Here is a 12,422-nt window from a genome sequence, read left to right as displayed (position 1 = left end):
TTCCTGGTACCCTGGTCAGGGGTAGAGGGGGAATATTGACAGGAGCCAGCTAAGGGGTAGAGGGGGTTTACTGGGGAAAATGTTCTCTGAGGGGGCATTAAAAACATCTTTTTTTTTTTTTTGAGACAAGATCTTACTGTGTCGCACAGGCTAGAGCCCAGTGGCATGATCATAGCTTGGCGAAGCCCCGATCTCTTGGGCTCAAGTGATCCCCCAACTCAGCCTCCTGAGTAGCTGGGACTATAGGCATAAACTACCATGCCCAGCTAATTTTTAAAGTTTTTGTAGAGACAGGGGTCTCCCTTGCGGCCGGGCGCGGTGGCTGACGCCTGTAATTCCAACACTTTGGGAGGCTGAGGCAGGCGGATCACGAGGTCAGGAGATCGAGACCATCCTGGCTAACATGGTGAAACCCCGTTTCTACTAAAAATACAAAAAATTAGCCGGGCGTGGTGGCGGGCACCTGTAGTCCCAGCTACTCAGGAGGCTGAGGCAGGAGAATGGCGTGAACCCGGGAGGCAGAGCTTGCAGTGAGCCGAGATCGCACCACTGCACTCCAGCCTGGGCGATAGAGTGAGACTTTGCCTCAAAAAAAAAAAAAGAGAGAGAGAGACAGGGGTCTCCCTATGTTGCCCAGGCTGGACTTGAACTCCCAGGCTCAAGCAATCCTTCCACCTCAGCCTTCCAAACTGCTGGGATTACAGGCATGAGCTACCACATCTAGCCTTGAAAATATCTTAATATTGACAGTGGTGATGGTTAACAACTCCACAAATATCCTAAAAGACATTGAATTGTAGACTAAATAAGTGAATTGTATAGTATGTGAATTATATCTCAATGTAACTGTTTAAAACAAAAATGGCCAAAGCTAAAAGAGAATTATCAACAGCCTCAGTTAACTAAAAAGTACACTGAAAAGTGCTAGGTAAATTTATGGCTTTTTCTGTTTCCTTTGCATTATAAATTTCTCCCAAATGGAGGTGCGTAGCCTTTGTTATCATTTTACATTTTACAAGCCCTTGTACAAATAAGGTCTTTTTGAGTCTTCACTATAATTCAGGAGCAAGATAATTATTTCCTTTATTTTATATACCAGCATGTGGCAGCTTCGAGCTTATGAGATTTACTGTGGTTCATTCAGCTGGTTGTAGCAGAGGTCAGTTCTTCCACACCTAAAGCCTGGGTCCTTTCTTTTACACTGTGTGGCATTTCAGGGTGCCAGGTAGGTACTGTCATGCAGAGTACTTCTGACCCATCTCAATAAGCAAATGCCCACGACTTGATTTTCTGGGGAGCTGGCCCAGCCAACCTAAGACCCCATTCAAGTATAATCTAACTCATCAGAGGTCTCAGGGTACCATGAAAAGAACCCTTGGCTCTTGAGTCCTTTGCTCTTTTGAAATTTATTTCCATTTTGGCTCATCTTTTTATTTGCCTCAGGGCCTAGCACAGTACCTGATGTTCCAAAAGATTTGCATGAAGAATTTATGAATACTGTACATAGCTTGTCATGAATTACATCTCAATATAACTGCTGGAGGTGAAGGGGAGTGAGTAGGTAGGAATTTCTTATTCTACAATGGGAGGACCAGGAAAAGAACCATGGTTTCAAGCAAGAAGACCCAAAGTGGCCTCAATTTTCTCTTCCGTAAAATGAGAAAAAAAGAAATACCATGCTCAAGGTTGTTGTAAAGATTTAACGACAGTATATCTGAAAATCCCTGTTTCACAATGGGTACACAACTAGTGTTCATTAATGCTAAATCAAATACTAGTCCAGTACCTTGATATCTCCTATGGAGACCAGTAGTTCTGGACACTGGGGATTCTAAAGTTCAGTGATGATCAATATCAAAAGGTGCCAATTAGATTTGCCAAACTTGAACTGTCTACCTAATTATAAGGAAGAAACTATTGTTAATTTTATTTCATGTTGTATATAAAATTGTGTTATCTTGTAACTTCAGATTAATTTTATATCTTGGTTTGCACTCACATTCGAGTGTGTGTGTGTGCATGTGTTTATTCTAGTGACCCCCAAACCTAATTACATATCAGAATCAAGGTGAGCCAGGTGCAATGGCTCATGCCCGTAATCTCAGCACTTTGGAAGGTGGAAGCCGAGGTGGGCAGATCACTTGAGGCCAGGAGTTCAAGACCAGCCTGGCCAACATGGACAAATCCCGTCTCTACTAAAAATTAGCTGGGCATTGTGGTGCATGCCTGTAGTCCCAGCTGCTTGGGAGGCTCAGGCACGAGAATTGCTTGAACCCAGGAGGCAGAGGTTGCAGTGAGCTGAGATGGCACCAGTGCACTCCAACCCGGATAACAGAGTTAGACTCTATCTCAAAAAAAAAAAAAAAAAAAAATCACTCAGGGTGCTATTAAACGCACAGATTGTAGTATAAAGACTTTGACTTGGCCGGGCGCAGTGGCTCACACCTGTAATCCTAGCACTTTTGGAGGTCGAGGTGGGTGGATCACCTGAGGTCAGGAGTTTGAGACCAGCCTGACCAACATGGAGAAACCCCATCTCTACTAAAAATACAAAAATTAGCTAAGCGTGGTGGCACATGCCTGTAAACCCAGCTACTTGGGAGGCTGAGGCACGAAAATCGCTTGAACCTGGGAAGCAGAGGTTGCAGTAAGCCAAGATCGCGCCGTTGCACTCCAGCCTGGGTGACAAGAGCGAAACTCCATCTCAACAACAACAAAAAAAGAGTTTGACTTAATAAATCTGGAATATTTGGAGAGTTTCCATTTTTATTAAGCTACCAGGTGATTCCCCAAACATCACTGAAATCACTGATAAAACCATTCACTGGACATTTTCTAAGAAATGTTTTCTCATGTAGATTGCAAAATGCATCCATTTACCAAATAAAACTCTGAACTATATTGTTCAGAAGAGAACATACTATAGGAGGGTAAACCTTTTCTCTCTTGCCTTACTAGAATTAAAAGGAAGTAATAACATTCTGAAAGTCTGTGAATGCAGGAGTCTTCTTAAGAGAGAATGTTCTGCCAAATCTTGCCGTTTGAATTATCTTCATTCACCATTTCAAAGGGACTTTTCAATCAAAGGAAGCTGTAAATTCTTACTACAAGTTGATAACCTCATTGTGATGAAAGTCGTAACACAAGAAGAGGCAAGGGTCAAGAAAAAATAGCGGGGGCTCACACCTGTAATCCCAACACTTTGGGAGGCCAAGGCGGGAGGATGGCTTAAAGCCAGGAGTTCAAGACTAGCCTGGGCAGCAAAGCAAGAACCCAATCTACAGAAAAAAATAATAATAATAATTTAAACTAGCCTCTACAAAAATAAACAAAATTAGCCAGGCATGGTAGTTTGCACCTGTAGTCCCAGCTACTTGGGAGGCTGAGGTGGGAGGATCACTTGAGCCTGAGAGGTTGAAGCTGCAGTGAACCAAGATTACACCACTGCACTCCAGCCTGGAAACACAGCAAGACTCTGTCTCAAAAAATAAAATAAGGCTGGGCGCCGTGGCTCAGGCCTGTAATCCCAGCACTTTGGAAGGCCGAGGTGGGCGGATCACGAGGTCAGGAGATCAAGACCATCCTGGCTAACACGGTGAAACCCCGTCTCTACTAAAAAAAAGAAAAAAAATTCAAAAAAATTAGCCGGGCGTGGTGGCGGGTGCCTATAGTCCCAGCTACTCGGGAGGCTGAGGCAGGAGAATGGCGTGAACCTGGGAGGTGGAGCTTGCAGTGAGCCGAGATGGCGCCACTGCACTCCAGCCTGGGCGACAGAGCGAGACTCCGTCTCAAAATAAATAAATAAAATAAAATAAAATAATTAAAAAACAAAAACAAACTAAACCCAGTATCAACAGGACACCTAAAATGAGGCCAGTTAAAAGAATCACAGAGTTACAGATCATCAAGCATCTATGCCTAGTTAATTAGAGCAGGTTGAGCACTGGGTAACTCCATTCCATTTCAGTCAAAATAGGAAACGCTTGAAGGTTTATAGTTGTCTCTATTAAAGAAAGTACGTGCACTCTAAGAACCTTGAGCTATAGTGCTTTTGTCTACCCAGGAATTCCCAAATGTTTGTTCATATTCTGCCAGCGTGATTCTACTACACATTTACTATACATTCTCTTATTTTTTGAGACATTTACTGTACATTCTTAGTCAACATCTTCTGTTCCCTCCAAAAAATATAATAATAATTAAAAGTATCCAGAAGCCCAGAGGCTGGGGAAAGGAGAAAATAAGGTATTCTAATGGCTTTCTGTTTGGGATGATGAAAAAGTTCTGGAAATGGGTAGTGGTGATGGTGGCACAATATTGAATTAAGGGTCCATTTTTAAACGGCTAAAATACTACATTTTACTTTATGTATATTTTACCACAGAATCAAAAACATCACCGGCCAGTATGTTAATCACATATCCTGTCACCCTGGGGTGCAGGTGCTCTAACCCATGCGGCTGTAGAGTGTCCTGGTGGGCAAAACAAAGATTCAAATACATAACCGGATGGAAATGTAAAGCACTCCTTGACACTGGACAGAAAACTTCACTCCAACATACCTAGGCCAGTACTTCTCAGACGTTAATGTGCAAACGGATCCCTTGGGTGATCCTGATTCAGCAGATCTGGGTGGGGCCTGAGATCCTGCATTTCAAAAGGTCGACAGGTAATGCACCCGTGACCTTAAAGTGGCAAGACACGTGAACACTTGAAAGTACCCAGAATGTCACCCTATCAGCAACTAGAATAACAGGTTCCTCACCAGGAAACGAAGAGGATAGGTAGTATCTCTCAAGTGGATTGGTTAAGGGCTTAACTTACCTACCGACCACGTTTGTGGAAATGCGTTCAGAAACCTGGACAGAAGACCTGCCTGCGGAGGCCTCCCTACGGAACTCGCCCACCTCTGGGACTGGGAAGTAGCCACAGACAATAAGGATAGTTGAGATACTCAGTTGCGCAGAAAGCCCTCGTGCAAACTTCAAAATAGTCTTGAAAATGCCCTTCTCAAGCTCGAAGAATGCCTGGAATTCAGTGGCCTTTTTCCAACATAAAGATCTCCAACTCGGTTTTGACTGAGAGCTCCCTATAGAAGAACCTTGCAATGCAGCCCTGGGAAACTTACAACGCCCTGTATATGCTGACAAGCTCGGCCCCTCCCTTACAAATGGGTCAGAAAGTGAAAATTTTTTTGTTGTTTAAATGTTTTCTAAGTCTCTGCCGCGTTAGGCGGAGGAGATCCCCGTTTTGCGGACCACGCGGGCAGGGCGAGCACCCCCAGGGCTGTACGGTCAAGCTTTCTGGAGTGCGGAGTTTTCAAGCCCCGCGGCGGAGGCTCAGCGGGCACTCAAGCAGCCCCACCAGCTTCCAATAACCAGCGCCGCGCTCCGCCCGCGTCACTCCAAGGCACCGGCTCCTGCCCCCACCCGATGCAGTTGGCTGCGCCAACAGAAATTCAAAGGCCCTTTTAATCGGGTAAAAGAGAAGCTCAGCAGAAAGTGAAACAGTTTCCATCCCTTGAGTGAAAGGGTGCCAGGCCAGGGAGAAGAAAAAAGGTGGCTCCCAGACACCTGTGGCTGCCGCAGGTGCGTGTTCAGGCACACCTGTTGATGATTCCCCCAGAGAGACCCTGTGAGGCGCTGCCGCCCCGGGGGCGATGAGGAAGCAGTGAAAAAGTAAATGCCCGATGAAGTACACAGCGCACTCTGCAGAGAAACCTAGGGGATGTCAACCCGTTTACTCGCGCTGCCCCTCACCCCGCCTGCACAAACGACCCAGGGCACCAGCGCGAATTCGCGCCCACCAAATCATTCCCTGGCCAAAGTCGGGACAGGAGGGAAGGCATCCCGGCGACGCCTGGGCACAGGCTGCCGCGCCTCGGCGGCTCTCCCGGGGCGTGCGGCAGGCAGCACCTGGGCCGGGGAGGGAGAGAGAGGAGGGTACTTGCCTAGAGCCGGTGGCGGCCGCCGCCGCGGCCGGCGGTGTCGGGCGCTGGGCGAGGGCGAAGGCGGCTCTCCGGGGCGCTGGGCGGCGCGGCGCTAGCTGCTGGGCTGGTGTCCCCCTGCGCTCCCTGCGCGCGTCGCTGGCTGCACTTCACCCAAGCCGGAGTGCGGGAAGCTCCCCGGGAATGGGAGGGCGCCAGCGGCCTCCGCGGCTGCTCCCGTATATTATTGTGATTCGGGCTATTTCCTGTTTAGAGGTTTGAGAGAAGGGGAAAAAAAATCCAGGGTGGGGGCAGGGGGAGTTGGGCGGTGGCGAGCCAGAGAGCAGCGGCGGGGAGGGGAAGGGGGTGGGCGGCGGCTGTCACCTGCTTCCTTGAGACCGGAGGGTTCTGGGCGCGCGAGCCCCGGGAGGGAGACGCAGCTGCTCGCAGCGCTACTTTGGGGTGTCGGGAAAGGCGGAGAGGGTGGGCCTGCACGCACGCCACTCAGCGGTGGGGCAGGGGCCGCGGCTGCCTGGGAGACCTTTGTCACTGGAGCCCGCGCGCCTACTTTGCCGCCTCTTTTCTTCTACGTAGAACTGCAGCTGAGCTTCCTCCCAGAGCTGGTGCAAGAGGAATTTGCTGGGCTTCTTTCTCTATTCGTGCCCAGGTCCGCTTCCTAATCCTTTCCAGGGTCTGGGCAAGGAGGATGTCAGCTCCTCTACCCTTCAAAGCCCCCGGGAAGCATGGTTGTGGGCCACTGTGGGTGCGTGGGGGGCTCTTGGGGGGGGGAGGTGACTGCTTTTATTGGGGGGTGTGAGAAAAGTTAATGATTTTAGTGTAAAGTTAACTTTTACGACCCGCTTCCGTTCCCCTCCCCCGCCAGCCTCACCCTTAGCCGGGATCACTGGGTCTGAGGCCCCCATCCGGAAATACCGGTTCCTCCACCCGGACAATAGGTGAGGGCGGGAGCACTACCCAGAGAGCCTGCTTAGTCACCTCGGGAGCCCCTGCTCAGTCGGGAGGGCAGAACCCTGCCAGTGCCCAGGCCTCCACCTGGCAAGCAGGTGCCCCTTCTGTTTAACGTGGCCTTGTTAAAAACCCTGGGAAGGGAATGGGAACTTAGTGCTTAATCGGTAGAGTTTCAATGTGGGATGACAAAAAGTTCTGGAGACCGAGAGTGGGGGTGTTTGCACAACAGTGTTAATATACCTAATAATGCTGTAACCGCCCAGTGGGTCCACCTTGCCGGCTGCGTAGACAGCCGATTTGTCAAGACAGGGGAATTCCAATGGCGAAAGAGTAATTCACGCAGAGCCAGCTGTGCGGGAGACCGGAGTTTTATTATTACTCAAATCAGTTTCTTCGAGCATTCGGGGATCAGATTTTGTTTGGTTGGTTTTCGGGTTTTTTTGTTTTGTTTTGTTTGAGACCGAGTTTCGCTCTTGTCGCCCAGACTGCAGTGCAGTGGCACGGGCGATCTCGGCCCACTGCAACCTTCGCCTGAGTTCAAGCGATTGTCCCGCCTCAGCCTCCTGAGTAGCTGGGATTAGGGGCGCCCGCCACCACGCCCAGCTAATTTTAGTAGTTTTAGTGGAGAAGGATTTCACCACGTTGGCCAGGCTGGTCTCAAACTCCTGACCTCAGGTGATCCACCCGCCTCGCATCCCAAAGTGCTGGGATTACAGGCATGAGCCACCGCAACCCGCCCTGAGTTTTTAAAGATAATTTGGCGGGTAGGGGCTTGAGAAGTGGGGAGTGCTGATTGGTCAGGTTGGAGATGGAATCAGGCGGGGGTCGAAGTTAGGTTTTCATATGTCTTCTGTTCCTATCTGCGATGGCAGAACTGGTTGGGCCAGGTTACTGGTCCAGGTGGTGTCAGCTGATCCATCGAGTGCAGGGTCTGCAAAATATCTCAAGCACTGCTCTTAGGTTTTACAATAGTGATGTTATCCACAGGAGCAAATTTGGAGAGGTTCAGACTCTTGGATCCGGAAGCAGCAAGACCCCTAAACTGTAATTTCTAATCTTGTAGCTAATTTGTTAGTCCTGCAAAGGCAGACTGGACCCCAGGCAAGAAGGGAGTCTTTTTCAGGAAAGGGCTGTTAGCAACTTTGTTTCAGAGTCAAATCATGAACGGAATTCCTTCCCAAAGTTAGTTCCGCCTACACCCAGGAACGAACAAGGACAGCTTAAGGGTTAGAAGCAAGATAGAGTCAGTTAGGTCTGATTTCTTTCACTGTCATAATTTCCTCAGTTATACTTTTGCAAAGGCGGTTTCAGTGCCTTACACTGTACACTTAAAAATGGTTAAAACGGGCCGGGCTTGGTGGCTAACACCTGTAATCCCAGTACTTTGGGAGGCCGAGGCGGGCGGATCACGAAGTTAGGAGATCGAGACCATCCTGGCTACCATGGTGAAACCCCGTCTCTACTAAAAATACAAAAAAATTTAGCTGGGCGTGGTGGCAGGCGCCTGTAGTCCCAGCTACTCGGGAGGCTGAGGCAGGAGAATGGCGTGAACCCGGGAAAGGGAGCTTGCAGTAAGCCGAGATGGTGCCACTGCACTCCAGCCTGGGCGACAGAGCGAGACGACGTCTCAAAAAAAAAAAACAAAAAAAAAAAACAAAAGGTTAAAAAGGGCTGGGCTGGGTGGCTCAAACTGTACTCCCAGCACTTTGGGAGGCCAAGGCGGGTGGATCACTTGAGGTGAGGAGTTCAAGACCACCCTGGTCAACGTGGTGAAACCCCGTCTCCACTAAATACAAAAATTACCTAGGCCTGGTGGCGCATGCCTGTAATACCAGCTACTCAGAAGGCTGAGGCGGGAGAATTGCTTGAACCTGGGAGGCGGAGGTTGCAGTGAGCCGAGATCTTGCCATTGCACTGTGCACTCCAGCCTGGGCAACACAGTGAGACTCCGTCTCAAACAAAAAATAAAAAAGTTAAAACGGTACATTTTATGCCATGTACATTTTACCACACACACAAAATCCTGGGTATCGATGCCATCACTCACGCCAGACAACTTTGCTTAGGACTGCCAAACTCTTCCCCACGCAAACTTTTGCCAGAAGTAATAGAATGGATAACAGTACTTTTTATAAAACTCAGGTTCAGGCCTGACATAGTGGCTCACGCCTGTAATCCCAGCGTTTTGGGAGGCCAAGGCGGACAGATCACGAGGTCAGGAGTTCGAGACCAGCTTGGCCAATATGGTGAAACCCCGTCTCTACTAAAAGTACAAAATTAGCCAAGCGTGATGGTGCATGCCTGTAATCCCAGCTACTTGGGAGGCTGAGTCAGGAGAATTGCTTGAACCTGGGAGGCAGAGGTTGCAGTGAGCTGAGATTGTGCCGCTGCACTCCAGCCTGGTGACAGAGCAAGACAGTGTCTCAAAACAAAAACAAAAACTCATTTTCATTTAGGTTAGACTTCTGATGATACCCATCAACAACTTATTTCAACAAGAGGGAAGATCAAGCCTGAAGAACACTGCAATTTTAAGAAAGATGAACAATAATTTGTCAGAAACTAGGGTATTAACAAAGTAATAAAAGCGTATGTAGGATGCTACTGTTTACCTAGGAAAGCAGAAACACACGTAAGTACATTTGCTTTTTTTTTTGGAAGGATAAATTATTAAATAAAATGGAAACCTATAAGGGAGGGAGGGACCAGGATGGAAGGACAAGGATCGAAGCTAGACTTCTCAGAATATACCATGTTTTGGCCAGGTGCGGTGACTCATGCCTGTAATCCCAGCACTTTGGGAGGCTGAGGCGGGTGGATCATGAGGTCAGGAGTTCAAGACCAACCTGGCCAAGATGGTGAAACCCTGTCTCTACTAAAAATACAAAATCATTACAAATACTAAAAATACAAAAAAAAATTACCCAGGCATGGTGGTGGGCACCTGTAATCCCAGCTACTCAGGAGGCTGAGGCAGAGAATTGCTTGAACCCGGGAGGCAGACGTTGCAGTGAGCCAAGGTCGCGCCACTGCACTCCAGCCTGGGTGACAGAGCAAGACTCCGTCTCAAAAAAAAAAAAAAAAAAAAAAAAGAATATACTGTGTTTTGTGGATTTGACTTTGGAATGATATAAATGTTTTTTACATTCTTATGAAACAAAATTAAATTTAAAAAAAGCAAAATGCAACACATGAATGCTGGTATCAAGTTGGTAGCTTAACAGTGTGAAGAGAAATTATATAAAGTGATTTTAAAACACAATTATTGCCAGGAGCAATGGCTCACCCTGTAATCCCAGCACTTTGGGAGGCCGAGCTGGCCGGATCACCTGACATCAGGAGTTGGAGACCGGCCTGGTCAACATGGAGAAGCCCCATCTCTACTAAAAAAAATATAAAAATTAGCCAAGTGTGGTGGCACATGCCTGTAATCCCAGCTACTCAGGAGGCTGAGGCAGGACAATCACTTGAACCAGGGAGGCAGAGGTTGCAGTGAGCCCAGATCAGGCCGCTGCACTCCAGCCTGGGCAATAGAGGCAGACTCTGTCTCAAAAGAAAACAAAAAACCACACACAGACGCAATTAATTATTTGGGCTGGACAAAGGGCTCATGCTCTTGATCCCAGCACTTCGGGAGGCTGAGTTGGGCAGGTCACTTGACGCCAGGAGTTTGAGACCAGCCTGGTCAACAGGCCATCTCTACTAAAAATACAAAAAATAAGGCCAGGCGCAGTGGCTGAAGCTTGTAATCGCAGCACTTTGGGAGGCCAAGGCAGGAAGATCATGAGGTCAGGAGTTCGAGACCAGCCTGACCAACATGGTGAAACCCCGTCTCTACTAAAGATACATTAGCCGGGTGTGGTGGTGCCTGCCTATAATCCCAGCTACTCAGGAGGCTGAGGCAGGAGAATCACTTGAACCGGGAGGCGGAGGTTGCAGTGAGCCGAGATCATGCCATTGCACTCCAGCCCGGGCGACAGAGCCAGACTCCATCTCTAAATAAATAAAGTAAAAATACAAAAATTAGCCAAGTGTGGAGGCTGAGGCACGAGAATTGCTTGAGCCCAGGAGGTGGAGGTTGCAGTAAGCCGAGATCGCACCACTGAACTCCACTTCAGCCTGGATGACTGAACAAGAAAATCCACAATTATTTGACTCTATAGCCTTTGGGGATATAACTAAGGACAAAGAGAACTTTAAGAAAAAAAACTATAACCTTTTTGAATAATCATAATGTTAGCAGTAATTATGTTAATATCCTTAGATATCAATATTTTTCTTTTTTCTTTTTTTTTTTTTCTGTTTTTGAGACGGAGTCTCGCTCGGTCGCCCAGGCTGGAGTACAGTGGCATGATCTTGGTTCACTGCAAGCTCCGCCTCCTGGGTTCACCCCATTCTCCTGCCTCAGCCTCCCAAGTAGCTGGGACTACAAGTGCCCGCCACCACGCCTGGCTAATTTTTATATTTTTAGTGGAGACGAGGTTTCACCAGTTGGCCAGGTGGTCTTGATCTCCTGACCCCGTGATCCGCCCGCCTCGGCCTCCCAAAGTGCTGGGATTACAGGCTTGAGCCACCATGCCCAGCCAAGACTTTTCAGTGTAAAAGATAAATATAAAATCAAAGAAGTTAAGCAATATTAAAATTTGAGTTGGAATTATTACTTATAACTCATGATGTACTTTTCTTAAAATAAATAAATAAAATTAATAAAGTCCAAGATCTACTCACTGAAAACAAACAATAACCAACCTGACAGGAATAGGTATCCTCAGATCCCACACTATGCTTTCAAAATACCATTTTCCCTTAAAAGGATCTACTTATCCTTGGAGACATGGTTGATAATAGGTCTAGAGTAAGATGAATGCCAAATAAGCCTGGAATATCTTGCCAATTCAGAAAGCAAGGAAGCGCTCAGAAACAAATTTATTTGAAATGTCATCTGGAACCAATTTGTAGAAACTCCTGCTGGCCAAAGTGGAATAAATTTGAGCATCAATAAGAAAAATCACAGCAATAAATTGAGACATATCAAATATTTGTATATCCATGAGTCATAATGATATTTTTAAAAAAATCTTAATTGCTCAACTTTGGAAATACAATAGAACTAGTTCATTATTTTGAAAGCTGGCAAATGGTAAATAAAGGAAAAGAATTGCACATTTTGCCTGCCTTTTCTGGATCTAACATTTCTTATGTACCATTTCAGATCTTCTTGGCCTTACCTATCTTATTCCAGCCACTACTGCAGCAGCAAGTTCCAGGGGGGCTCTGACCACTTCATGCAGGGACAACCCTTAAAAACCTTACCACTTGGTTGGCTGGGTGCGGTGGCTCATGCCTGTAATCCCACCACTTTGGGAGGCCGAGGCGGGCAGATCACAAGGTCAGGAGATCGAGACCACCCTGGCCAACATGGTGAAACCCCGTCTCCACTAAAAATACAAAAATTAGCTGGGCGTGGTGGCGCGCGCCTGTTAGTCCCAGCTACTTGACAGGCTGAGGCAGGAGAATCGCTTGAACC

At 47.5% G+C, this 12,422-nt stretch overlaps 1 protein-coding gene across 9 annotated transcripts in view, besides 4 other annotated features; it reads right to left on the bottom strand.

Annotated features, from left to right (window-relative positions):
* The window catches only part of TJP2 (tight junction protein 2), a 133,945-nt gene extending 127,533 nt beyond the window's left edge, over positions 1–6,412 (bottom strand). For 3 of the 9 annotated variants that reach the window (XM_047424091.1, XM_011519207.3, NM_001369871.1), the window contains exon 1: positions 4,563–4,661. The gene's annotated coding sequence lies outside the window, so the exon portion shown is untranslated. Of the gene's footprint in view, positions 1–4,562; positions 4,662–4,824; positions 5,297–5,950; positions 6,193–6,310 lie in introns of those variants that run through there. The other 6 variants (XM_011519208.3, NM_001170414.2, XM_047424090.1 and 3 more) reach the window with 4 other exon arrangements.
* Positions 5,817–5,986: a silencer, noted in NCBI's record as "silent region_19932". NCBI's record gives its function as "represses an Ori minimal core promoter by ATAC-STARR-seq in GM12878 lymphoblastoid cells {active_cell/tissue: GM12878}" and the evidence as "EXISTENCE:reporter gene assay evidence [ECO:0000049][PMID:35858748]".
* Positions 6,176–7,134: an enhancer, noted in NCBI's record as "NANOG-H3K27ac-H3K4me1 hESC enhancer chr9:71735458-71736416 (GRCh37/hg19 assembly coordinates)". NCBI's record gives its function as "activates a minimal SCP1, AML or CMV promoter by ChIP-STARR-seq in primed H9 embryonic stem cells {active_cell/tissue: H9 hESC(primed)}" and the evidence as "EXISTENCE:reporter gene assay evidence [ECO:0000049][PMID:30033119]".
* Positions 10,033–10,533: an enhancer, noted in NCBI's record as "H3K27ac hESC enhancer chr9:71732059-71732559 (GRCh37/hg19 assembly coordinates)". NCBI's record gives its function as "activates a minimal SCP1, AML or CMV promoter by ChIP-STARR-seq in primed H9 embryonic stem cells {active_cell/tissue: H9 hESC(primed)}" and the evidence as "EXISTENCE:reporter gene assay evidence [ECO:0000049][PMID:30033119]".
* Positions 10,534–11,034: an enhancer, noted in NCBI's record as "H3K27ac hESC enhancer chr9:71731558-71732058 (GRCh37/hg19 assembly coordinates)". NCBI's record gives its function as "activates a minimal SCP1, AML or CMV promoter by ChIP-STARR-seq in primed H9 embryonic stem cells {active_cell/tissue: H9 hESC(primed)}" and the evidence as "EXISTENCE:reporter gene assay evidence [ECO:0000049][PMID:30033119]".

Source organism: Homo sapiens, chromosome 9 (genome assembly GCF_000001405.40).
Source record: "Homo sapiens chromosome 9, GRCh38.p14 Primary Assembly".
NCBI classification, from domain to species: domain Eukaryota; kingdom Metazoa; phylum Chordata; class Mammalia; order Primates; family Hominidae; genus Homo; species Homo sapiens.
Note: the sequence above shows the minus strand (reverse complement) of the source record. Positions and strands in the feature narration are given on the sequence as shown.